At 32.9% G+C, this 27,833-nt stretch overlaps 1 long non-coding RNA gene across 1 annotated transcript in view; it reads right to left on the bottom strand.

The window, feature by feature from the left end:
- Positions 1 to 9,636, bottom strand: part of LINC00613 (long intergenic non-protein coding RNA 613) — a 46,698-nt gene extending 37,062 nt beyond the window's left edge. Inside the window, exon 1 of the long non-coding RNA NR_103763.1 lies at positions 9,578 to 9,636. This is a non-coding gene — a long non-coding RNA (long intergenic non-protein coding RNA 613). The remainder of the gene's footprint in view (positions 1 to 9,577) is intronic.
- Between the last annotated feature and the right edge of the window lie 18,197 nt (positions 9,637 to 27,833).

A 27,833-nucleotide genomic window follows, 5' to 3' on the forward strand; every position in this document is an offset into this window, starting at 1 on the left:
GTTCGTGAGTTCCCAGGAAAGGTGTAGTTGTTATTTTAAATGGGTAAATCAGGGCATCCCGGAGAAAATGAAATTTCAGTAAAGGTCTGGAGCAGGTAAGGAGGGTGGGTATTTGTTATCTAGTGTGTAACATTCCAAGAAAAATGAGTAAAAATCACCAATATGTGAAGCTAGAAGCATTCCTGAAATATTAGCCCAAGAGCAAGGAGGTCATAGGGCCTGGAAGGGCAGAGAGAGAGAGAGAGAGGAGTTGCAGAGGAGGTCAGAGAAGTAATATGAAGAATCAGTTCCTGTGGGTTTTTTGTGCCCCACTAAAGATTTCTGCTTATATGTTAAATACAACAATAAGTCATTGCACAAGGACTGACTTACATTTTAAATCAGCCTCTCTGGGTGTTCTGTGGTGAAAAAACAAAAGGAGGAGGGAGGGATGATGGTCAAAGGAAAAAAGCAAAAAAACCTGTATACATTAGGCATTCTTTGTGGTGTGTGGAGAGTAGGGGCAAGAGGTCAGATTCATATTCATATTCATATTCATATCAGTGGAAGTATTGAGAACTAGTAACGCTCTGAATATAGTTTTAAGGTATTGAACGTAGGACATGAGAAAAAAAATAAAAAGAGAATAGGAAAAGAAGAGCAACCAGTCAAGGTGACTGAGAAGGACTACTAGTGAAGTAGAAAAAAAATGAGGAGAGAGTGGTGTTTAGTACCCAAAAGAAGTAGTGCGTCAAGATTGAGCATGTTAAGCTTTGTCAAAGGCTACTAATAAATAAATTATATTGAGAAGGGAACATTTTGACACTTAATTTGACAGCATAGAAATTATTGTAGTATTTATGTGGAACTCTAGGAGGGAAATCTTGGTTGAACTGGATTTAAGAGAGAATGGAAAGTGAGAATTTGAAGGTGGTTAGCCTAAAGTATTTCTTAAGAGATTTGCAAAAAAAATGGAAACAGCTTTGGTATATAGTGATTCAAGAAAAAAATGTGTTTAAAAAATTGTAAGATAGGAAAATAACTATGTTTTTATGACGATGAAAAATCATTTTTTTATGTGGGGGAGAGCCAAAAGTATTCCCGGGCCATGTACATAAGTAGTCAAAAGATGAAAGAAGAGAAGGTAAACTCAAAGAAAACAAAGTATTGAATTTAGGCAGAATCATGATAGTATTACATCTATAGCAACATCAAGAATACAGTCAGTATTTGCAAATACTGGCAAGTAAGAAAAATGTGCTTGTGAGAATATGTATATACTTTTTAAAAAACTTTTAAGTTCAAGGGTACAAGTACAGGTTTCTTATGTAGGTAAATGTGTGTCATGGGATTTTGTTGTACAGATTAGTTAATCACCCAGGTATTAGGCCTAGTACTTATTCATTGTTTTTCCTGATGCTCTTTCTCTTCCCACTCTCCACCCATCAAAAGGACCCGGTGTGTATTGTACCCCTCTATGCATCCATGTGTTCTCACCATTTACCTTTCACTTATAAGTGGGAAAATACCATATTTGATTTTCTGTTCCTGTGTTACTTGCCAAGGATAATGACCTCCATATCCATCCACGTCCCTATGTCCCTGCCAACAAACAAAACAAAACAAACAAACAAACAAAAATTGATTTTTCTTAATGGCTGCATAGTTTTCCATGGTCTTCTTTTGAGAAGTGCCTGTTTATTTCCTTTGCCCACATTTTAATGGAGTTGTTTGTTTTTCACTTGTTTGTCTAAGTTTCTCATATTTGCCCACATTTTAATGGAGTTGTTTGTTTTTTACTTGTTTGTCTAAGTTCCTCGTAGATGCTGGATATTAGACATTTGTTGGATGCCTATTTTGTGAAAAATTCTCTCATCTGTAGATTATCTGTTTACTAATTTGATAGTTTCTTTTGCTGTGCAGAATCTTTTTAGTTTAATTATATCACAATTGTCCATTTTTACTTTTGTTGAAATTGCTTTTGGCATCTTTGTCATAAACTCTTTGCTCATAGCTATGTTCTGAATGGAATTGCCTAGGTTATCTTCCAGGGTTTTTATAGTTTTGGGTTTCCCATTTAAGTCTTTAATCCATATTGAGTTAATTTTTGTATATAGTGTAAGGAAGTGGTTCAGTTTCCATCTTCTGCATGTGGTAAAACAGTTATCCCAGCACCATTTATTAAATAGGGAATCATTTTCCAATTGCTTGTTTTTGTGAGGTTTGTTAAAGATCAGATGGTTGTAGGTGTGTGGTCTTATTTCTGAGTTCTCTATTCTGTTCCATTGGTCTATGTGTCTGTTCTTGTACTTGTACCATACTGTTTTGGTTACTGTAGCCTTGTAGTGTAGTTTGAAGTCAGGTAATGTGATGCCTCCAGCTTTATTATTTTTGCTTAGGATTGCCTTGGCTATATGGACTCTTTCTTGATTCCATATGAATTATAAAATAGTTTTTCTACTTATGTGAAGAATGTCAATGATAGCTTAATGGGAATAGTATTGAATCTTTGAATTGCTTTGGGCTCTACAGCCATTTTGTTGATATTGATTCTTTTTTTTTTCATGAGTATGCAATGTTTTTCCATTTGTTTGTGTCATTTCTGATTTCTTTGAGGAGCGGTTTGTAGCTCTTCTTGTAGAGATCTTTCACCTTCCTGGTTAGCTGTATTCCTAGGTATTTTGTTTCTTTCTGTGGAAATTTGAATGAGAGTTTATTTGTGATTTGACTCTTGGCTTGACTATTCTTGGTGTATAGGAATGCTAGCGACTTTTGCACATTGATTTTTTTATCCTAAGATATTGCTGAAGTTGCTTATCAGCTTAAGAAGTTTTTTGGCTGAGACAATGGGGTTTTCTTGATATAGGTTTATGTCATCTGCAACTAGGGATAGTTTGGCTTCTTCTCTTCCTATTTGAATGCCTCTGTTTTTCTTTTGCCTGATTGCCCTGGCCACAACTTCCAATACTATGTTGAATAGGATTGTTGAGAGAAGGCATTCTTGTCTTGTGCCAGTTTTCAAGGGGAATGCTTCCAGCTTTTGCCCATTCAGCATGATATTGGCTGTGGGTTTGTCATATATGGCTCTTAATATTTTGAGGTATGTTCCTTCAATACCTAGTTTACTGAGAGTTTTTAGCATGAAAGGATATTGAATTTTATCAAAAGCCTTTTGTGCATCTATTCAGATAATCATGTGGCTTTTGTTTTTAGTTTTGTTTATGTGATGAATCACATTTATTGATTTGCAAATATTGAACCAACTTTGCTTCCTAGAGATGAAGCCTACTTGATCATGGTGGATAAGCTTTTTGATGTGCTGCTGGATTCAGTTTGCCAGTAGTTTGTTGAGGATTTTTGCATCAATGTTCATCAAGGATATTGACCTGAAGTTTTGTTTGTTGTATCTCTGCCAGTTTTTAGTATCAGGATGATGACTTCATAGAATGAGTTAGGGATGAATTTCTCCTTTTCACATTTTTGGATTACTTTCTGAAGGAATTATACCAGCTCTTCTTTGTGCATCTGGTAAAAGTCAGCCATGAATCCATCTGATCCTGTCATTTTCTGATTGGTAGGCTATTTATTACTGCCTCAACTTCGGCACTGTTTATTGGTCTGTTCAGGTATTGAATTTCTTCCTGGTTCAGTCTTGGGAGGGTGTATGTGTATCTATGTATCTATTTCTTCTAGATTTTCTAGTTTATGTGCATAGAGTTGTTTATAATATCCTCGATAGTTGTTTGTATTTCTGTGGGATTGTGGTAATATCCCCCTTATGGTTTCTGATTGTGCTTATATGAGTCTTGTCTCTTGCCTACTTTATTAGTCTAGATAGTGGTGTACCTATTTTATTAATTTTTTTTCAAAAAAAAAAACGGCTCCTGAATTTGTTGACCTTTTGAATGTTTTTTCATATATCCATCTCCTTGAGTTTAGCTCTGATTTTGGTTATTTATTGTCTTCTGCTAGCTTTGGAATGTGTTTGCTCTTGGTTCTCTAGTTCTTTTAGTTGTGATGTTAGGTTGTTAAATTGAGATCTTTCTAACTTTTTGATGTGAGCATTTAGTGCTATAAATTTCCATCTTAACCCTGGATTAACTGTGTTGCAGGGATTCTGGTACGTTATATCTTTGTCCTCATTAGTTTCAAAAAACTTCTTGATTTCTACCTTAGTTTCATTATTTCCCCAAAAGTCATTCAGAAGCAGGTTATTCAATTTCCATGTAATTACATGGTTTTGAGTTAATTTCTTAGTCTTGAGTTCTAATTTGATTATGCTGAGGTTTGGGAGACTGTTATTTCAGTTATTTTGCATTTGCTCAGGAGTGTTTTACTTCTATTTATCTGATTGATTTTAGAGTGCCATATGGCAATGAAAAGAATGTGTATTCTATTGTTTTGGGGTGAAGAGTTCTGCAGGTATCTATCAGGTTCATTTGATCCAGTACTGAATACAGGTCCTGAATATCTTTGTTAATTTTCTGTGTTGATGATCAGTCTAATATTGTCTGTGGGTTAAAGTCTTCCACTATCATTGTGTGGGAGTCTGTCTCTTTGAAGGTCTCTAAAAACTTGTTTTATGAATCTGGTTGCTCCTGTGTTGAGTGCATATATATTTAGGATAGTCAGCTCTTCTGGTTGAATTGACTTCTTTAATGCCCCTTTTTTTGGTCTTATTTCATCTTTGTTAGTTTAAAAACTGTTATGTCAGAAACTAGGGTTGCAACCTTTGCTTTTTTCTGCTTTTCATTCACATGGTAGATTTTCCTCCATCACTTTATTTTGAGCCTATGTGTGTCATTGCAAGTGAGATGGGGCCCTTGAAGACAGCATACCAATGGGTTTTGGTTCTTTACCCAGCTTGCCATGCTGTGATATTTTTACTGGGGCATTTAACTCATTTACATGTAAGGTTAGTATTGATGTGTGTAGATTTAATCTTCTCATCATGATGTTAGCTAGTTATATTGCAGACTTGTTTATGTCATTGCTTTATAACGTTACTAGTTTGTGTATTTCAGTGTATTTTTGTGGTGGCTGGTAATCGTCTTTCCTTTCCATATTTAGCGCTTTCTTCAGAAGCTCTGTTGGTAACAAATTATCTCAGTATTTACTTCTCTGAAAAGGATCTCTGAATCATTTTGAACATTGTTTTCCCGAATTAAATTGTAACTGATAGACACAATTATGTGTTTTTTTCTAGTCATTTGTGTTCATAAATTTGCATGTGTGGAATAGGTGATGTGTTTAATTTGAGTTTTAGTTTTGCTAATAAGTAACACAAAACAGAACATCAAGGGACAGTGTTATATTTATTAAACGTTAAGCATCCAAGACTTCATGATGATCTCATCCAAGATATCATTTCTTTAAATTTGCCTGACACACACACACATAAACTTTCTGCTAACCAGGGAGGTTTTAATCACCTTATTAAAAGATTCAGTGATGCAGTAGCTTTCCAACTGATGGTCTACCTTTTATGTCTCAACGTGCCCCTAGTTGATATTAATTTATTCTACACATTGCCAGCAGATTAATCTTTATGATACACTATTTCACAAATAATATATTTTATAATTACAAAACCATGCATGTCTCCTTTGTGAGAAATCACAGGATAACATAAAAGCTTTGTTTATTACTCTTAACATTAGAGAAAACCAATTAACCTCCTTTTTGCATTTTTTTCTGTTAATTTCATGGAAATTATTATGTGTCAGTGACAGAAAATATTTTAATACTGTTTAAGTAGTGATAACTGTTAGTTAACAATCACAAACAATTTATTTGATCTTGCCCAATTAAAATATTTTAGTCATTTTATGGTTTAATATTTTTTGAAAATATTTGTAATTTCTGTAGTTAAAGTCCTTTATTAGATTCCATTTTATTTCCCAAAGATCCACATAAGCTACTGATGAGAAATCAATTTATTTCTCTAGTAATGACTCATGCCTAAGCTCAAAATTTATATATTTTACTTAGTTTTACTTCCTGCTTGATTTTTCACTTGGATATTGAATGGGAAATTCAAGCATAATATCTCCAAACATCTTGTTTCAACTCTACCATGTCCCTGTCACAACCTACTCCCTGTGTCTTTTGCATTGCAGTAAATTGTACCATTATTCACCTAGATGTTCATTCTCAAACATGATAATGTTTGATTTTACTCTTTCTACCTCACCAATACACCATCGAATACCGTCTGTTCTACCTTCATGCAGCCTCAACAATACAATCTCCCATTTCAGAGTTCTACTCAATTCCTTATCTGGAGTTATGCTTTCAAATATCAAACCTTCTTACAGTTTCTCATCTCTCTTACAATGAGGTTTAAACTCCTACAATGCCCTGTACAAACTGTCTTCTCAAGACCTTTCCAAATTAATCTCTCATTTACCTTCCCATTATCACACACTTCATGTTAGATAGGCTTGCTACTTTTCACTCCATAAGAATGCTAAGCCAGTTCTGCCTTACCTAGGAACTTTACTCTTGGATTTTTTCACCAGAGAAACATTTCCCTCAGATCTTATCACAGTGTCACATCAGTATTTTTCAAATGGTACTTCCTGAGAGATGTCATTAGTAACTTTCCTATGTAAAATAGTCATCAACCTTGTGAGCCTCTCTCACTTCATTCTGCTTTTTGTCTCTTCCTTTTTTTCTAATCTACACTTAACCATCAGATCTCATACTTCTATCTAGATGTACAAATTATCTCACCTTCAATTTAACACACACACACACACACACACACACACACACACATACTTTGTTGTAGTTACTTCTATTCATTTCTAGCCTCTCCATCTCATAACTTTATGACTACAGGACGATTTGTTTTTTTGTTCACTATTCTATCATCAGTGCCTAAATCGAGTTCTTCTTAATATGATAAATGTTTAATAAGTATTGGTTGAAAGAAAGAAGAAAATATGAAAGGAGAGAAGAAAGGAAGGGGAAAAAGAAGAAAGGCATTGCAAAATCTGAATCCCAAGGTATGATAATTTTTTAAATGCCACTTAATTTTAATATCCTTCTTTGACAAAGCTGGAACAACAAAAAAGATGACTTCTTTGCTCAGTTATCATAGGAAGTGTTATGCAAAAAGGAGTATCATAGTAAGGAAAATGCCATTCAATGAGGCATCTGGAAATTTGTATGAGCATTTTGTTGTCACATGTGGATGGTATTTAACGTATATGTATGAGGACTGTTAGATATTCTGCACTGTGGAAAAATAGATCTTTGTCATGTACATATTTTGAATGATCTGATATGTATTTATATATGATAAAACCTAGAACTAATCTTTTGTACATAAATAAAATGTTTTTGGAACCACATTTTGCATGCCTATAGTTTTCTAATAATATTAAAACTGTATAAATACAGAAAATAATTTTTTGTGGAGGCATATGATAAAAAACTGTTCAGTATTCCCCCAAACTTATATCAGCAAAGGCAATGCCACTCTTGATATTCACCTACCACTATCAGTGGCAATTGTCTGTTTAATATGATGCAAAGGTTTGTGTCTTCTCCCAAAGGTATGATTATTAAAGGACATATTATTTTTTAACTTAAATTTGCTTTTATGTTTCCTAATACAGTTAGGGAATTATTTCTTTTTGTAGCTGCCTATGAAGTTGGGTTACAGTTTCTCTGTTTATCATTGCATGATAACAATTCATTACAATATGTGAGAAGTTGGTTTGAAATGATTGAGAATGAATGGTCTAACATTTAGCTTGTTCATATATGTATTTTATATAGGCATTTTATTGCTATTTTCATCAGCTACATCTAATATCACTACTACTTTGTAAAGTAAAATAAAATAATAACAACTAACTGCTGTCTTTTTCTAAGGGTCTTCTGCCAATCACTTTATGTTTATTATTCCATTAATCCTCTCAAGACCTGTATAAGGTCTTGAGAGGATTAATGGAATAATCCTCTGAACAAAGTGAAATTGAAAGAAATGATGTCTTATGCAAATATCACAAAGCTAGTTATCATAAGACATGACTTGATCTCTTGTCGATGTACTTCTTTTCAAACATGAACTTTGTATTTTTATGCTCCATAGCACATTCTAAAGGGTATTATGCAAGTTATTCCAAAAAAAAAAAAACCTCCATTTTCCTTTCATGGAAAAAAACTGGGAGTATGGACAATGTTATGACTCAGACTGAAACAACACCTCAAAGCCATTTTAAGTGGAGACATGTCCATGTTCCAGCTCTTGGAGATATTTGGTCTGGGTCACCTGTTTTCTCTGGTGGCATTCCCGTGACTGCCTGTATGGCAGTTGTTCCCACCACGGTTTCACCAGAGAGCAAGCCCTGTGTCATATGCTTCATACAGAAGATGCTCACATTTGTAATACTTTTGACAATAGTAAACCCCAGTCAAGAAAGAAAACTCTGTTAAATGGTATATTGCTTACTTAATGTGAACTCTTTCAATCTGTGTGTAAAATTCAAATAATTCAGTAAATGAGTCATTCTTTAAATTAAGCCTTCAATCGATTAAAATTGTTTTTCAATTGAAAGGAATCCTAGTTTGAATTAAATGTGTGACATAATGTCAAGACAGTGTTTAAATTTCTTGAATAAAAAAATGGTAAACTCACACTGAATTTGGAATTTGATTTTCAAAACTGATTTAAAACAACTGTTATCTACTTGTAGCTAAGCATTTTAAATGGTTTGAAATATTATTTTTTAAAATCAGACTAGGTATCTAAATTACAAATTTAAAATTATTTTGTTCAAAATATCAATGAAAAGAAACTAATTTTGTATTAGTTAGATATATGCTAACATTTAAAAAGTATACAACTGAATTTCTTCAGGTAAAACAGGAAAATTCAATCCCTAATTTTTATCAATCTTTTGATTTGGAAATGTGACAGTAATTGTAAATCTTGTTGACATGATTTCCCCATGTTCTGGCAAATATTTGAGCTTGTATTTAAACAGCCAACACTCATTATCTGTTACTCTGGTTTCCTTTTCATTTTGGGGAATATATTCTTTTTTCTTGTGTTGCAGGGTCATTCTAACTAATAGGTTTGTATTACTAAGTATGAAGAAGGTGACTACATAGATGATGTTGATAGCATGCCATCATTTTTATATTTATAAAAAGCAATTTTTTAAAGGTAAGAATTCTTAAGTATTATAGGATTAGCAGTAACAGGAATAGATAGTGTCTGTCATAGCTTAAGCTGAGCAAGGGAACCCATTTCTGCTTTCTTTTTACATTTGTTTAGCTTTAGCAGTAACAAAGCACTATTTGTCTAACAGATCCTCACTAGGTAAGAGGCTGCATCCAGCCTATGATATCAGCATTTTCACTTTAAAATTTATTTGATTGATAACACAGTATCCCAGATGTTGTCTGATATATCTTAGCTCAGTGACTAATATTTATTTTGAAATGCAGGGCACAATAAATCAGAAAAAATTAAGTCCATTTATTTTCTATTAAAGCTATTCAAAATAATACTTCTAATTGAATGATGACAATAGGATTGAGGGAACAAAAGAAAGATAAAATGTTCTATAATCCTTCTGACCAGGTTTGGCTGCAGATGACCTCTTGTTCTTTCTCTGATTTCTCATTGTTCCACAAGAGCCTGTACAGAACAGAACAAGAATTCTTTAGTCTCTCTCGTGCAGCATTAATAATGCCTCTTATCTCTTATGACATTGACCTATAAATAAATGGGAGTTAAAGACTACACAGCACAAGATCAAAAGTATATTTTATGTAGTGACAGCCTAACCATCAGATACATTAAAATATTGAATATATACCAATCCTAGGTCAGTAAGCAATTTCTGGTATGGAATAATAATAAAACTCTCAATATGTGAGATATGAGTGGGAATTATTGATTAGGCTCAATTAAAAATTAGTGTTCAAGACATAAATTTTTTTAGATTTATATTAAATGTCCCTCTCTATTTCTTGTACAATGGCTTGTCTTGAAGTTTATTTTATCTGATATTAATATAGCAACACTAGTTTGCTTATTATTAATGTTTGCATGGGATACATTTTAATATTTTACTTGTGATTCATTCATGTCTTTACATTTGAAGTGCATCTTATTGAAAGGAATAATTTTGTATGGTTTATCATTTTTTGTTTTCAGAGTTTGGGCTGGCAATTTGGAACAATCTGTACATTTTAATTGAACTGTACCTTCAATTTATATTTGATGTAATGCAGTTGTATTTATATTTACAATTTTCCATCCATATCTATTGATTCATTTTTTAATTTTCCCATTTTGTATTTATCATTTTTATTTTCTTGAATTGATCAACTATTTTTTTAATATTCCACTTAAGTTCCATTAATGGACTTTCTGCCATATCATTCTGTATCTATTGTATGCTTGCTGTTGGGATTATTTTATGTTTGTTTACCTCAGTATAGGGTCAATATTTTAACACTTTATGCAAAATGTATGAATTTTATAATATTTGTATTTAATTTACCTCAAATTTGTTGTACCATGGACATATATTTTGCATCTACATGTGTTAAAACATAATCATACAAGGTTACATTTTTGTATTAAATTATAACTTGTATATTAAGGTAATTAAGAGAAGAATAAAAAGTAAGTCTTTTGCATTTATTCAATGTATTTATCTAGTCTCAGCCTCTCTTTTGGTCAGCTCCATTTGGAGTCTGAAAATTTCTTATAGCAGTTTTTGTGGTACAGATCTTTTGATGATAAATTGTTTTAGCTTTCATTTTCTGAAAAGATTTTTAATTCACCTTGCTTTTTCAAAGCATTTTGACTGGATATAGAATTTTTGTTTCTTTTCTTTCATTTGTTTCCTTGTTCACTTTTCCTATAAGCACCTTAAAGATGTTGGCCCATTCCTTGTGTGCTTGCATTGATATTTTCTGATTCTTGGGAATTCGACCATTATTTGTGTCATTTCTATTTTACTCTGACTGCTTTCAAGATTTCTATTTAGTTGTCAGCAATTTAATTACAATATGTCTAGGTGTGATTCTCTTTGCATTTGGCCTGCTAAAGGGTTCCTGTACATCTCGAATCTGTGAATTTGTATTTTTCTTCTTCTTTGGGACATCTTTGCCATTACTTCCTCAAATACACATGCACGCATGCGCATGCACACACACATACACACATATAGTCCCCTGTCACATTCTCTCTTTCCTAAGAATCTAATTACACATATTCTGAACCAACTGGATACAGGCATCAAATTTACTTTTTTTTCAATCTGTTTTGCTGCCTGTGTTGTTGCCTGTACTTCATATTTTATAGTTTTTTTGATTGATTAATTGATTTTTAGAAACAAGGTCTTGCTCTGTCTCCCAACCTGGAGTGCAGCGGCATAATCATAGTTCACTGCAGCTTCTGACTCCTGGGCCCAAGTGGTTCTCCCGCGTCAGCCTTTCAAATAGCTAGAACTATAGGTATGCACCAGCACAACCAGCTAAGTTCTTTAAATTTGTGTAGAGATTAGGGTCTCACAATGCTGCCCAGACTCATCTCAAGTTCCTGGACTCAAGAGATCCTCTCTCCTCAGCTGTCCAAAGCGCTGATATTACAGGTGTGAGCCACTTCACCCAATTGTATACCTTCTATTGATTTGTCTACGATGTCGCTGAATCTTTCTTTGCCATCTTTAATCTTTTGTTAGTTACATCCAATAAATTTTTATTTTAACTTCTTAGAACTTTCATTTTGTTTTTTAGTAGTTCTATTTTTAGTTTTACTTATTAAGATTTGCTTTTCTTAAAGTGTTTGCACATATTTCAAACAACTGCTTTAAAACTCTGCCTACTAATTTCTATTTCTGATTTATCTTGGATTATTTATTTATTTATTAATTTTCCTTCAGTCATATTTTCCTAGTCCATCACATATTTAATCATTTTTATGTATTACTAGACACTTCGGATGGTATACTGTGCAGGCTCTCATCCCAGATTAGCCAAGACTTTGAGGAAAGGTTATACCTAGGTATGGATATCTTTCATTAATTTTTTGAGCTAATATGTTAAAAATAAGGTTGATTAGACTTTAAAATATGGTTTTCAAGAAATTATATTACAAGAATTTTATGAAATTTTTTCTTTAAATACAGAAAATGCCTATATAAGTGTAAGTATATATGCATATATTTGCACATATATAACCTTTATAGTAATTAATATTTTATAGCATTATGTTCAATGTTGATCATGGTAACAATACTTGAATAAAATCAATCGCTGAAATGTAATTCTTTCCCATTTTTGTATAAAATTACTTATCAGTGTAAGTAGTGCTGGGAAAACTGGATATCCATGTGTAGAAGAATAAAATTATACCCACACCTATTATCCTATACAAAAATCAACTTAAAGTAGAAGAAACACACAAATGTAAGACTCAAAGGAGTTGAACAATGAGGACACATGAACACAGAGAGGGGAATATCACACACTAGGGCCTGTCAGGGGCTGGGGGGCTAGGGGAGGAATAGCATTAGGAGAAATAGCTAATGTAGATAGCAGGTTGATGGGTGCAGTAAGCCACCATGGCACATGTATACCAATGTAACAAACCTGCACGTTCTGCACATGCACCCCATAACTTAAAGTATAATTAAAAAAAAACCTTAGAATAAAACATATGGGAAATTTTTCAGGCATTCATATAGGAAAATATTTTATAAGACTTCAAAAGCACAGACAACAAAAGCAAAAAAAGAAAAAATACGACTTTATATCAAACTAAAAAGCTTCTGCATAAAAAAGAAACAACAGAGTGAGAAGACAATTTACAGAATGGGAGAAATATTTGCAAACTATTCATTCAACGGGTGTTTAATATTCACAATATCCAATGAACTCAAACATCTCAACACTAAAAAAAAACTGATTAAAAAATGGACAAGTTATCTAAACAGACAATCTCGAAGAAAACAAAAGTGTTGTGGGCATTCTCTAAAAGACAAAAATATAAAATGCTGGAGAGGACGCAGATAAAAGGGAACCCTTATATACTAGTGGTTTGAATGTAAACTAGTACAGCCACTATGGAAAACAGTATGAAGATTCCTCAAAAAACTAAAAAAAGAATGACCATATGAGCCAGCAATTCCAACTACTGGGCATTTATCCAAATGAAAAATAAGATCAGTATGTTGAACATCTGCATCCCCATGTTCACTGCAGAACTATTCACAGTAGTGAGTTAACCTATAGGTGTCCAAAAACAGATAAATTGATGAGGAGAATGTGATCTATACACAATATCACATTGTGTGATATACACAATATCACATTGTGTGATATACACAATGGGATACTATTTGGCCATAAAAAGATTAAAAGAATGAAAATCTGTCATTCATAACAACATGGATGTAACTGGAGGGCATTATATGAGTGAAATAAGCCAGGAATAAAAAGTTAAACACTGCAGATTCTCACTCCTATGTGGAAGCTAAAAAAGTCGGTCTCACAGAAATTAAAAAGTAGAACAGAGGAAGGGTGTGGGAAGGGAGGAATAGGGAGAGATTTATTAAGGGGTATATAATTATAGCTAGATGGGGGGAAAATTTCTAGTGTTCTATACCACCGTAGGATGACTATAGTTGACAATGTGTTATACAGTTTCAGATAACTAGAAGGAGGATGTTGAATGTTCCCAACACAAAGAAACGATAAAGGTTGGAGATGCTGGCTATGCTAATTACCTGGAAAATAGTATACATCACTAACTGCTGTTAGTGGTCTAGTCACTATACAGTAATACAAAATTACTAATAGTAATTAGTTCTTCAATTAATATTAGTGATCTAATCATTTATATATATCAAAACATATATTCCATTAATATGAACAATTATTACATGTCAATTAAAAAAATTTAAATGCCACAGTACTTACTTTTCCTATAGTCTAAGGTGAAAGCATAACATTTTCTTCTACCTATAATTAGATATTAGTACTAATTCTCATAAAACCTGCTAAGCTTCCTGGGAAAGTCCCATTTAGACCTCTAAACTACAGAAACTTGAACACATTTCGGCAACCATGGTAATGTGAAGGGGTGATCCCTTCACATTTATGATATTCATTAGAATCTCTATGATTTGTGCAGATCATATTTAAAGCAGAAAAAAAGTGTTGTGGAGTTTTACTTGTTAATAAACACTATAAGCTTATTTTCCATACAAGATCTCTTTCCTATTTTTCTTCACATTTCCCTTAAATAATGTGTTTCCCCTTCTGCTGTTAAATTAATTTATGTTTATAAAAGTTAATCTACTTTCTTTTTTTTTTTTTGATTTTTTACCTCTAAAATAAGTGTGAAATTATTTTGAGTTTCTCTAAAGATTGTTTGTTATGAGATAGAGTAAGGCAAAATACGAAGAGATGAAAGAAGACAAAGCCTTTGCTTTAGAAGTAATGAGATGTCGAAACCACTGAAAGACTCAAAAGTAAAGGACTCACGGTCACTTTTTGTTCTGGTGGCTCCTATGTGTACAGAACCAGCTTAACGCTGCCCACAGGTAATCCAGAGAACATGCGTTGAAACTAATCCACTTTTATATTTTGAAAGTATTTACAATGTTCATTTTTGTTACGTTCTGGCTTAAGATAAAGAAAATAATTTTTAAAAATAAAATTTCAAGGTACCCAGAGAAGATATACTGTATTTTAAATGCCACAGAAGCAAGACATTTCAGATTTTTTTTTACAAAGTAAAGAGAGCTGTGTAACAATAACAAACACAAATAATCACAAACATTAAATAATAATAATAGTAATAAAGATAATTAGTAATCAGACTGATGTAAACAGGTGTTTTATGAAAGAAACTCCCCATCAAATTATTGATGAATAAGACAATAAAAAGCTGAAAAGTTAGGCAAATCACCAATTTCTAATGGAAATGTACCAGCTCATGAAATTAAAACAAACTAACCAACCAAAGCCAATTAATAAAGTCTATTAAGATTTGTTTCAGGCAGATGATTTCAATGATTTTTATAAACTCATGATACATATGTAATCTTTCTCACTCCCCAAATATGGAACAACTTCTAATGCTCTGATTCCTACATTCAGACATCATTCCTAGTTCTATGCACTTGACTTTATAAGCTTTTTTTGAGAAGTCTATTAGACATTAATATTTATTTATTTTATTTTGTTTTCTGTTAAAAACTTTATGGCATTAGACTCTTCATATGCTATGATAAAGTTGAGCAAATGAGAATTTGAAAATTGAATTTTGTTTAGTGTGAATTTATTTCTCATCTTGGTTATTTAAAGTATAAAATAATCAAAATTTATCTTATATATACTTTTCTAATATAGACAATCATCTTAAACAATATAAAATAACAGATATCTATAAATGGATAACATAAAATATAGACAAAGATTTCCCAAAGTACTGAATAAACTCATTCTCAATATTCATCTGAAAATTGACATTAACTTTTGCATTTTGGCCACTACTCATCTTCACACCCATTTCTGGAAATCCCTCTCATATGCTCTTTATTTCCCCTGTGGTTTGATAAGAACATAGTGAATGTAGAGCATACTTGGATTCCACGAGAATATGGTTGAATCATAAATATCTCTATAGCAGAATCCATTTAAAAACATATAAATGAGTAGTTGGTTTGGGGTATGTTCAATGTTTTATGTGAACTATTTCCCTAAATATTAATTACTTGTAGTAATGCTTTCTTGGAAAACCAAATGCTACAAATAAATATTGTAAATCAGAATTAGTGCCAATATTAGAATGTTGTATACAGTAACTATTATATATAATTTATTTTAGGTAATACAAAGTACATATGGTAATAATATATTGTAAATATTCAAAATATGCTTAGATCCCCTTATTATTATTCTCCACTATGTTTTAGAGTATTTTAAATTCATAATCTAAAAAATTAATAATCTATTTTTCTTACATCAGAAGTTTTATGAAACTTATAAATTGTAGAATAAACACTATCAGGATTTTTAACTGACTTGCTTATATTACATACGAGTGCTCTTTACTATGTCTTGGCCTGAATTATTTTATATTTTATATTTGTAGGATGTGGGATGATTTTTACTTCCATAATTGCTTTTAAAATTATTTTTTGATCTGACCTTTGATGCATTTTTACAGAAAGCATGGCAAACATAATTTGATTTGTTTCTTCAAATTGTTGATGCAAGACTAAGAACAATCAAATAATGTGGTTAATAAAAACTACAATGATTTTTAAATAATTATTTGAAATATGCATTCAACGTTTAAAAATATAATTAAAAAATTGAGTTGAGTATCTTCGCTGATACTTTTTAGAATAATAATATAATGGACTGTTTTTCATTTATTCATTTATAAATTAAGAGTACAAAATTTAGTAAGAATTTGTTGAAAATAGGTTATATGGAAAGCTTTGAGAGATATAATTTTTGGAGGTTGAAAATTACTTTAGTCACAATATTAATTCAACATAAGTAAAATTAACAATTATATTTAAAATGTGATAGTTATTTAAAAAACTCGCAATTTTAACTTATTGTGCCTTAGCAGTTACTGGTGTAAGTAATGAATTTTTTGTCAATTAAAACACATCTAGTAACATCTACTGATGAAAAGCTGCAATATTAAAGGTTCAATATAACTAAACTGTCACCTGAAAAATTTTAAAACATCTAAAATTTATTAATATCTTCTTCCTTCCAAACAGTAATGAGATTGCCAACTTTTATCAGTATTTTAGTGACATTTTGGTATTTATATTTCCTAATTTGTCATAGTTACTATTACTGTTTACAGTCAGCACTTGTTTATTATATAATCAGAATAGAGTTTCAGTATTAACCATTATATAATTTGAAGATAAATAATCTTTTGAAAAAGTCTGTGATTTCAATATGTTGGGTCTCATAAAAGTGATACTAAAAATCTAATGCTTTACAATCTTTTTCTGTCTTAGTAATCTAAACTGAAGTATCTGTAGCTAACATAGTACCAATCATGGCAACATATGTAATAAGAATATTTTCTTGGGCTTTAACTTACATATGTGTGAATTATAGAATTAGTTACAGGCAAGGGTGACTGACTCTGTCTTAAATCAGACTGCTAACATTTACAGTCACAGCCACAAGATAAAAAATACAACTAGCACTAACTGGAGCACTTCCAATAATGGCCTTTTTGAAGAGGATTTATTACTGTGGTGCTAGGGCCCTGTTCAGAAGTCCTGTTCTGGGGTGTTGTGTGCTAACCAGTGAAAATATTCATTATGTATTATATATACTGTGTGTACTTGCACTCACACTGTGTGTATGTAAATACATAGCACATGTACCTAGGAAAATATAAGAAAGATAATATAGATTTCACTCAGACCCACCATACCCTAGTCCATATATTTTAAAACTTGAATTTGTCTATTGCAAATTTTCTATTTTTGAATTAGTTAGCTCTTTCCTTGTCATTAAGGTCTAAATAGAAACAGGCAGGTGAACTGTTCTTATGACCCATTCCTTATTTGCATATTTTTTCCTGAATTAATTTAAAACTCAGCACCAATTTTTTTTTATTGAGTTATTAGTCAATATACGTTGCAATTCATTCAAAGTCTTCTAAATATAGTTCTCTCTTGCTTGGCCTCCACATCCACTTTGAACCCTGCCAACCCTGTTTTAGACTCAGGACGCTGACATAATGTGGGCTGTATCAACAGGACTCCAAGACCCTCTGACTTCTAGTTGAGTCCCACCAATGATTAGCCCCAGTAGGAAATCTAAAGGGTGAAGGAGAGATAGGTCAGGAAAATTATCCTCAGGCTCCCTCTTAGTAAGATCACAACAGTTGGTTGTGTTCCTTTACTGAAGATAACTAATCCTCAAAGCTGTATTTTTTCTTGTTCCTATAACCTCAACCTTCCTTTATTGTTTAAAAATTTCAGCTAGTGCAGGAATCTGCACTAACACTTGAATTTTCTTACACCTTATTCACACCTTTATAATTTATTCTTACATAAATAAAACCTCTTCAAATTATCTTAACTGAAATGTGCTATGTGTCTCCATTTGGTATGTGGATTGATACATTTTCAGTCATAGAATACATACTTTGTATAGTATGTACATAAGGATACATCAATGTGCTTGAAATCTAAGACAATATTAATGGAGATCTAATAACTTTGTCAAAACCGACAGTTGATAATGTGTTAACACCTACTACAATATAGTTATTTAGTTTTCAGGAGAATTCACAGGGCAAAGCACAGAATACTGTGAAAATAACTTGAACATATTACTAATAGGCAAAATTTTTTTCAAATTATTACTTAAAATTAATTACATAATTTATATTATGGAACAATTTATCAAATGTTAGAAGATCATCTTCTGTGGTCAAGATTTCTATTTAAGCCCATATAAATGCATTTAAAAACCAGTATAAAAATTAAGTACTTTTATTAATTACTGTGTTCCCTATGTTCAAAGAAATAATGAGGTTGTACTACTTCAAAATTTTTGTTTAATTGCTTTTTAAATAATAAGATTAGATTTAGATGTTATCTCAAAAGATAGATCAGCATGAAAAGAATTTTAAAAATAAGTGTTTAAAATACATTTTATTTCATCTTCATGAAATATGTCATAGTCATAATAAAATTGAATTAATAACACCTGGATGGAAAACTAAATTAAGTGCAGAAATACTGGCTATTTCAGTTGAAATTTGAGTATGTTATTTCCTTTACTTTTCATTTCGTTGTGTTTTCCAAACTGGGACCTAAGTACTAATTTATCAATTTCCCTCTCCAGTTCCACACTGTTAATCACTCAGTGTGTGAACTGTAGGTTTACAGGATCTGGGCATTTGGCTCAATTGGTGGGTATATTTCTCTAACGAAGCCAAAGATCTATGCCCAGTCCCAGTAGAAGCCACTTTGTTTCACATAGGAACAGTAACTACATAATGTATCTTTAAACTCAATACTAACTGGAAAAAATCAAACTATTCATATGCAAGCTTACTTTCATATTTTTGCTTGAGGAAATAGTCTCTACTTCATTATTAAATAAAATAATAATAATATCAATACTGATACTACTGATGAAGCATTTTAGCTTATCATTTCCTGAATACAGCACTTCATCTTAAGCTCTCTCAAGTAGAAGGTGCTCATTTTCCATATCTCACAAAATTGGGGGTCAAGGAGATTATATAGGAACCTCCACGATCCCTGCTGCTGTGATTCTATTTCCAAATTATAACTTCTCCATTTTTATGTGAAAGCATCTGTGAATTAGAGGCTCTTAGCATTGTGTTATATATCATATTCTGTTCAATTTTTAACAGTGAATTTTGAAACATTCAATTTACACAGAAAATTAAAAAACATTAAAAAGAACATGTATACAAGTTTTACTTGTATCCTATGTATTTTACCAAACTTCTGTTCAATTTCTGTGTATTTTCTCTCTCACACACACATACACACATTTGAGGGTAAATTCTAAGTGAGCTGCTCCTTTACCTGTGAATGATTTTGTATATAATTGTGTGTGTGTTTATTAAAAGGACATTCTTTCGGCCAGGAGCAGTGGCTCACTCCTGTAATCCCAGCGCTTTGGGAGGACGAGGTGGGCGGACCATGAGGTCAGGAGATGGAGACCGTCCTGGCTAACACGGTGAAACCCCGTCTCTACTAAAAATACAAAAAATTAGCTGGGCGTGGTGGCGGGTGCCCGTAGTCCCAGCTACTCGGGAGGCTGAGGCAGGAGAATGGCGTGAACCCAGGAGGCGGAGCTTGCGGTGAGCTGAGATCGCACCACTGCACTCCAGCCTGGGCGACAGAGTGAGACTCCGTCAAAAAAAAAAAAAAAAAAAAAAAAAAAGGACTTATTTCAAATAACCACAGTTTAATGACAGATATCACAAAATCACATTGATAAAGTACTATTTATATAATGCATAGATTATTTTTTAATTTTACCAGTATGTCCCACTGGCGCTCTTTTTTTTTTTTTCTAGTCTAGAATTCAATTCAGGTTGTCATCATTTGTCATTCTTTTAAGGCCTCTTTAAGATGATATAATTTTTCAATCTTTGTTTTTTCTTGACCTTGGTATTTTTACTGACATCTCCTTAACTCTTTCTCATTCATTAAATTACTGAGCACTGGCCTTACATCTGCCTTTTCCACGCTGACATCAAGCTGGGTAACTTAAACAGAACCTGACATTATCTCTAATACTATTCACCTTCTGCATATTTCAGCTCTCCTTTATCATGGCTACATCATGGCCTTAGTCAACACCCAGAAGTTTCCTCACATCTAAAATATTAATGCTGTGATTCCTTTCCTGTGTGACAACATTCTTGCTATTGACAGTGATTATCAACCACTTCTCCCAAAACTCAAATCTTTCTTGTCTTTATCCTTTTTGGATTCCTCCTGTCTTCATTTTCCTCTTTGTTCAGTAAATATTTTACAGTATATCACTCTACGTAAAGCTTTTCAGCACTTTAAGTTCCTTTATTCAATTCATTTCTGTGTCCTCACGTGACAAAACACCTATTTCAGATTAATCAAATATTTTGCAAAGTCTTGCCTCTATCATTAAAGCAGACATAATTATGACCCTGCAAGTTTATGATCTCAAAGACCAATTAGATAAACAGTACTACCAGTCGATTATTTCTATTTTTCTTTCCAAGGAAATAGAAATTGACCCTATGGGCAACCAAACGGGAAACAGAGCAATCAAAAAACTATCTCCTCTTCCTATGCATAGCACTCCTGTTTTTGAATTATCCCTACTTCCTTACCAGTGACAAACCTCACCAAGCTTTAATATTCCAGCCTCCGGATAAAGATTTTTGAGATATCCAATCACCAAATTAACATCACTTCAAATTCAGAAAATGGCCCATCTTTTGAATTACTTCTTTAATATTATAAAGTCCCTCCCAATTGCTCCATATTAAAATCTTCCTGGCTATTCCCTGGGGTGTGTTTCATCTTAAAACAAACTAAATAAACCTGACTTTGTTTCAGTAAAATTTATCCTGGATTTACTCATAAGATGCTCTCCATTTTCCAAAAGGAAATACAATAATTATTATCTGTCTTCAGATAATAATTTTCTGTTCTCAGATAATAATTTTCCCTGGCTGTGTTATAGGGAATAGGTTGCAAGGGAGTTAAACTTAAGGTAAGAAAAATGGTTCAGGCTGGGCATGGTGGCTCATGCGGGTAATCCCAACACTTTGGGAGGCCAAGGCAGGTGGATCACCTGAGATCAGGAGTTTGAGACCAGCCTGACCAATATGGTGAAACTCTGTCTCTACTAAAAATACAAAAATTAGCGGGGTGTGGTGGTCAGTGCCTGTAGTCCCAGCTACTTGGGAGGCTGAGACAGGAGAATTGCTTGAACCTGGGAGGCAGAGGTTGCAGTGAGCCAAGATCATGCTGCGAGACTCCATCTCAAAAAAAAAAGAAAGAAAGAAAAGAAAAAAAGAAAAATGGTTTACATTTTCAGGCCAGAGAATACAACAGTCGGGGTTAAGCACTAGGGTGGAGTTTCAGAGAAGTAGTCGGAATTCAAGGAAATTGAGGAGACACAGCCATGAACTTAACAGCCAGTCACTACACCCCTTCACTCCTACTACAAAGATTCGTAGGTTTGAGATAGCTTAGAAGAGAGAGGAGACAAAGTGAATGAGAGTTCCCTTTAAAGATACTGGCTTGGACATTTTGTTAACTGAGTATAGATTCTTCTTGGCTGAAAGTGATGCTATTGTACACCAAAATTGAAAGGCCAGTTGGAGAGTTCTTTCTAAAATGGTGAAGAAGAAATAATCCATAGAGTATTCAGAAAGAGAAAGAGAAAGAAAACATAAAGTTTTTTTTTCTAGGTTGTACCACATTGAATTCAGCTCATTCAGTAGGTTATTTATGCATGCCATTTTATTATTTCTGATTTTCCACTTTAAGTATTATCTACTGCCTCTTCACTGTGTATCATGATCCATGCTGGGGCAATAGAAAGGCATCATTTTCTATCACTCCATCTCCATCCACACACATAGACAACTGAAATATTCACACATTTACAAAGATTTTTTTGATGTGTTTCTGATTTTCATTGGAAAAATACCGGAAAATTATTTCAAGACTTGGATAATAAATTATTCCTCCAGAATGCATAGGGGTTTACATCTTTCAGTTAGTCAACTGGGCAACTATTAGTCCATGACCATTTTAAATAAATTCATGGCTTGATGTTTTTAGTTTTATTTGTTTTGTTTTTTTGCATAGTGCAGATAATATGAATTTGTGCTGCAAATCCACATGATGGCATGTTTATGATGATAACTTCGCATGGATAATTATTTTAATTCCTTGACTGTGTGATAGTATTTTCACTGCAGTCAGCTAAGGTTGTGAGGTCAAATTTGTTTGCTTCCAGAAGGGATAAACCCATGGGATCCCTGCTATAAAGGATTTGTCTCCTATTTAACTCTCCCTTTGGTTTTGGGCTTTGCCTTTTATTCCCAGCAGCCTAAAAAGGAAACTAAAGCCCAAACCTGGTTCTGTAAATGACCCCAAAGCAAATGATCTCTGGTTCTCTGCTTATCTCTGTGGGTTCTCATTTTCTCTAAGACTTTAGCTGAGTAATAGCTGAGTAAATAACTATCATGCAAAGTTTTTAATGTCTTTACTGAGAAATATATATATTTCTTCTTAAAGTAATTTAACTTGCTTTTTTTACCCTAGTATATCTGGCTAAGTATGCTTTTAAAAACATCCCGGGGCCTGTTGTGGGGTGGGGGGAGGGGAAGGGATAGCATTAGGAGATATACCTAATGTAAATGACGAGTTAATGGGTGCAGCACACCAACATGGCACATGTATACATATGTAACAAACCTGCACATTGTGCACATGTACCCTAGAACTTAAAGTATAATAAAAAAATAAATAAATGAAAATTTAAAAATGCATGAAGACATACCTAGACAGCTACAAATTAGAAAGAAAAACTCCAATAACACACTGATATTATTTTGTGATAAATGAGATTTAGTGTACAATACATGGTTCAATATCCACTTTCCAGAAAGTATAATGCACAAATGTTCTGAAAATTGTATTTAATAGGTATGTATGTATATATGCATATGTATGGATGCATCTGTGTATACATATGCAAAAGTGTACACATACATAGCAGTGGTAACTTCAACTTATAAAAAAAAAACTTGCCAAAATTACTATTCTTAATACTTATTATGCATGATAATACACTGAAACAGACACTGAAATAAAAATGTTGATCATAAATTATAAGCAAATCTTTTCAGAGATCCATAGTATTTTATATAACAGCTGTATTTTAAATGAATGTTTCTTGAATTAGGATTTAGGGTGTTTACTTTGTAACAATTTCATTTTTTTTCCTTGCCAATGTTGAGAAATAATAGATTTTTATTGCTACAATTACTCATAAGAATAAATCATGATATATTCATTGGGATGACATTTAGAAATGTCTCATATAACCCTACTTTTAAAGATTTCTTTTATTATTAGAAGAAATTCTCTCTTTAGAATGTAATGGCCCATGAACACAGTCAATCCACTAAATTTATTCTAGAAAACACAGGAGAGTTGAATCTCCACATGACTAGAAACTGAATGTATAGGTGCTTTTAGCAAGGATTCAGGATCAATCATATGGGGCTAGCTTCAAAGGAACTGCATAAACATGAAACAAAAGTCACTCTGTTTGCAGTATTAGTCACAAACCACTTGTTTATTTGTTCAGTTTATTTCACAGTGAACATTTATTTCTTTTGCAATTTTCATCATATTTCAAACTCTTTTCCTCAGTAAAAGTTATCTGTCCATAAGTAAAATCTATCTTCTATATTTCTGGGCTTTAAAGTGTAATAGAGAAACTACTGAGAAATTGAACTCCTTTGGATGTTTATCTGTCAATGCCAAAATTAATCCTAAAGGTTGTTTTCCCAGTAGGTACAAATTCTTTATTTATTTAGGTTACACAATTTAAAAAATACAATAGTCTAGCTTTAGTGCTTATTTCACTTAGAATTTTTTTAAAAATGTGCTAACTGGTAAATCCAGTTGTTTATCAATAGGTCTCAGGAACATACCTTCTCTTCAAAAATAACAAAGTTAAAAAGGAGGGATAAACAGAAAAAGTAAAGAAGAAAGGGAGATGAAAAAGAAAAAGGAAAAGGCAAAAAGGCTTCACTTCTGGGACAATGAATTCATGATATTATGAAAAGTTATTTGAAAATTATGACCACCACAAAATATATTTTTGTATTACCATGATAAAATTTGAGGACTATATTAGAAAATTAAAGTGTGGTACAATTTGTTGAATACTTGAGTTTAAAAACTTACAATGTACTCACAGATTCAGCACTAACATATGAAAAGTAGGGAGATGAGGCAAATTTGAAATTGCTTCCCATCTCAAAATGTGTAGCAGAGGATATTTCTATATGAAGCCAACACTAAGTAAAAATGAGTTTACATACAAAGCCCCTAAAAACTCTTTTCAGGTTCATCCCTTTTTACCCTTTGGCCAATAGCTAAATATATTCCATTACCATGAAACTGGTTTTCCATTTCCCCTTTGAAGCATGTTTCCATCATGCTTTTGTGCATTATTGTAAGCATATTTATCTGCAGTTTTTCTGGATGGTGAGGATATTTGATATAGAGGAAAAAATAAATATTGACTGAAACGATGGAGAAGTGATAAGATTTCCAAAGGAGCTTTTCTAATCTTGAACGATTAGTTCATCATGTAGAGAAATTCGAAACAAAATATTCAAAGTGGAGAAAAATTATCCTCAGGGCTATATTTCTTTTTTAACAATTTATTTTATTTTATTTTTTTAAGTTCTGGGGTACATGTGCAGGATGTGCAGGTTTGGGACATAGGTAAAGGTGTGTCATGGTGGTTTTCTGCACCTATCAACCCATCACCTAGGTGTTAAGCCCAGCATGCATTAGCTCTTTTCCCTAATGCTCTCCCACACGCCCCACCCTCCCCCAACAGATGTCAGTGAGTGTTGTTTCCCTCCTTGTGTCCATGTGTTCTCATTGTTCAGGTCCCACTTATAAGCGAGAACATTTGATGTTTGGTTTTCTGTTCCTGCACTAGTTTGCTAAGGATAATGGCTTCCAGCTTCATCCATGTCCCTGACATGATCTCATTATTTTTCATGGCTCTGTAGAATTCCGTGATCTATACATACCACATTCTCTTTAGCCAGTCTATCATTACTGGACATTTGGGTTGATTCCATGTCTTTGCTGTTGTGAATAGTGCTGCAATGAACATACATATGCATGTTTCTTTATAATAGAATAATTTATATTATTTTGGGTATATACCCAATAATGGAATTGCTGGGTCAAATGGTATTTCTGGTTCTAGATCCTTGAGGAATCACCTCACTGTCTTCCACAATGGTTGAACTAATTTATAGTCCCACCAACAGTGTAACAGCATTCTTATTTCTCCACAACCTCTCCAGCATCTATTGTTTCTTGACTTTTTAATAATCACCATTCTGGCTGGCATGAAATGATAGCTTATTGTAGTTTTGGTTTGCATTTCTCAAAGATCAGTGATGTTGAGCTTTTTCATATGTTTAGCCACATGTGTCTTTTATTGAGAAGTATCTGCTCATACACTTGGCACAGTTTTTCCCCTTGAAAACTAGGACAAGACAAGAATGTCCTCTCTCACCACTCTTATTCAACCTGGTGTTGGAAGTTCTGGCCACAGCAATCAGGCAAGAGAAAGAAATAAAGGGTATTCAGATAGGATGTGAGGAAGTCAAATTGTCTTTGTTTACAGATGACATAATCCTATATCTAGAAAACCCAAATCCATTGAGCCCCAAAATTTGTTAAGCTGATAAGCAACTTCAGGAAAGTCTCAGGATACAACATCAATGTGCAGAAATCACACACATTCTACATACCAAAAACAGACAAGCAGAGATCCAAATCATGAATAAACTCCCATTCACAATTGCCACAAAGAGAATAAAATACCTAGGAATATAACTAACAAGAGAAATGAAGAACACTTCAAAGAGAACTGCAAAACACTTCTCAAGGAAATCAGAGAGGACACCAGCAGATGGAGAAACATTTCATGCTTATGGATAGGACGAATCAATATCGTGAAAATGGCCATACAGCACAAAGCAATTTATAGGTTCAATCCTATTCCTATTAAACTACCATTTACATTCTTTGCAGAATTAGAAAAAAAGCCTATTTTAAAATTCATATGGAACCAAAAAGGAGCTTGTATAGCCAAGACAATTTTAAGCAAAAAGAACAAAGCTAGAGACATCATGTTATCCAACTTGAAACTATACTACAATGCTACAGTAACCAAAACAGCATGGTACTGGTACAAAAACAGGCCCATAGACCAATGGAACAGAATAGAAAACTCAGAAATAAAACCACACACCTACCACCATCTGATTTTTGACAAATCTGACAAAAACAAGTAACGGAGGAAGGTTTCCCTATTCAATAAATGGTGCTGGAAGAACTGGCTAGCCATATGCAGAAAATTGAAACTGGATCCCTTCCTTATATGTTATACAAAAATTAACTCAAAATAGATTAAAGACTTAAACTTAAAACTCAAAACTATAAAAACTGTAGAAGAAAATCTAGGCAATACCATTCAAGACCTAGGCATGGGCAAAGATTTTATGATAAAATCACCAAAAACAATTGCAACAAAATTAGAAATTAACAAATAGGATCTAATTAAACTAAAAAGCTTCTGCACAACAGAAGAAACTATCATCAAAGTGAACAGGCAACCTACAGAAAAGGAGAAAAATTTTGCAATTTATCCATCTGACAAAGCTCTAACATCCAGAAACTACAGGGAACTCAAGCAAATTTTCAAGAGGCCATACTTTCTACTCTTCTTTGAAAAAGATCAGGCACTGTTCTTTTTTAGGGATTTTAGATTTTATGTACCCTCTAACTGGAGTTGCAAATAACTTCATTTCCTCTTGAATAACTCCTTCAAGTATTTTCTTAAATGTTTTCTAGTAAGGGCACTTGTCAAAAATTGTAAACTTCTATTCCAACATTCTTTATTTTGCTTCTTTATTTTTTCTTCCCAAATATATTACCATTAATACATAATTTATTTTTTAATTTATTTTTCTATTTGTCTTCTATTTCTGGAAGGCAAGTTTTTAAGCATTTCTCTCTTTCTCTCTCTTGCTCTCTTTCTCTAACGGCCCTAATCACAGTATCTGGAAAAGAACCTAAGCCCTCAAATAAATCTAGCATACAAATGAATAAATTGGCTTAGATAAATATGAAAGATAGAAAACTCTGAATTAGTTTTAATTATTGACATTATTGTTGCATTTGTATCACTCAGGATAAGCTAGGTTTTACTGCATTCGCAAACAAACCCTGAATTAATTAGCATAAAATAATTATCATATGCCCACAATAAATACTCAAAACAAGTCTATGGGAAGTTCTGCCATTATAGACGGAAACTTAGACTGACAGAGGATGAACTTGAGCTTTTTTTAAGTGTTTCACCCCCAAATAAAGGGCCAGTTGGTGTACCTTGTACTCTATACTATAAAGAAAGAGGCACACTTCTTTATTGGCCACATTTGATAATAGAAGTGACACAACAACTTCTGCATGTGCTGTGTCGTCTGCCTGGAATGTCAT

The sequence above is a fragment of the Homo sapiens genome, chromosome 4, assembly GCF_000001405.40.
Source record: "Homo sapiens chromosome 4, GRCh38.p14 Primary Assembly".
Classification (NCBI taxonomy): domain Eukaryota; kingdom Metazoa; phylum Chordata; class Mammalia; order Primates; family Hominidae; genus Homo; species Homo sapiens.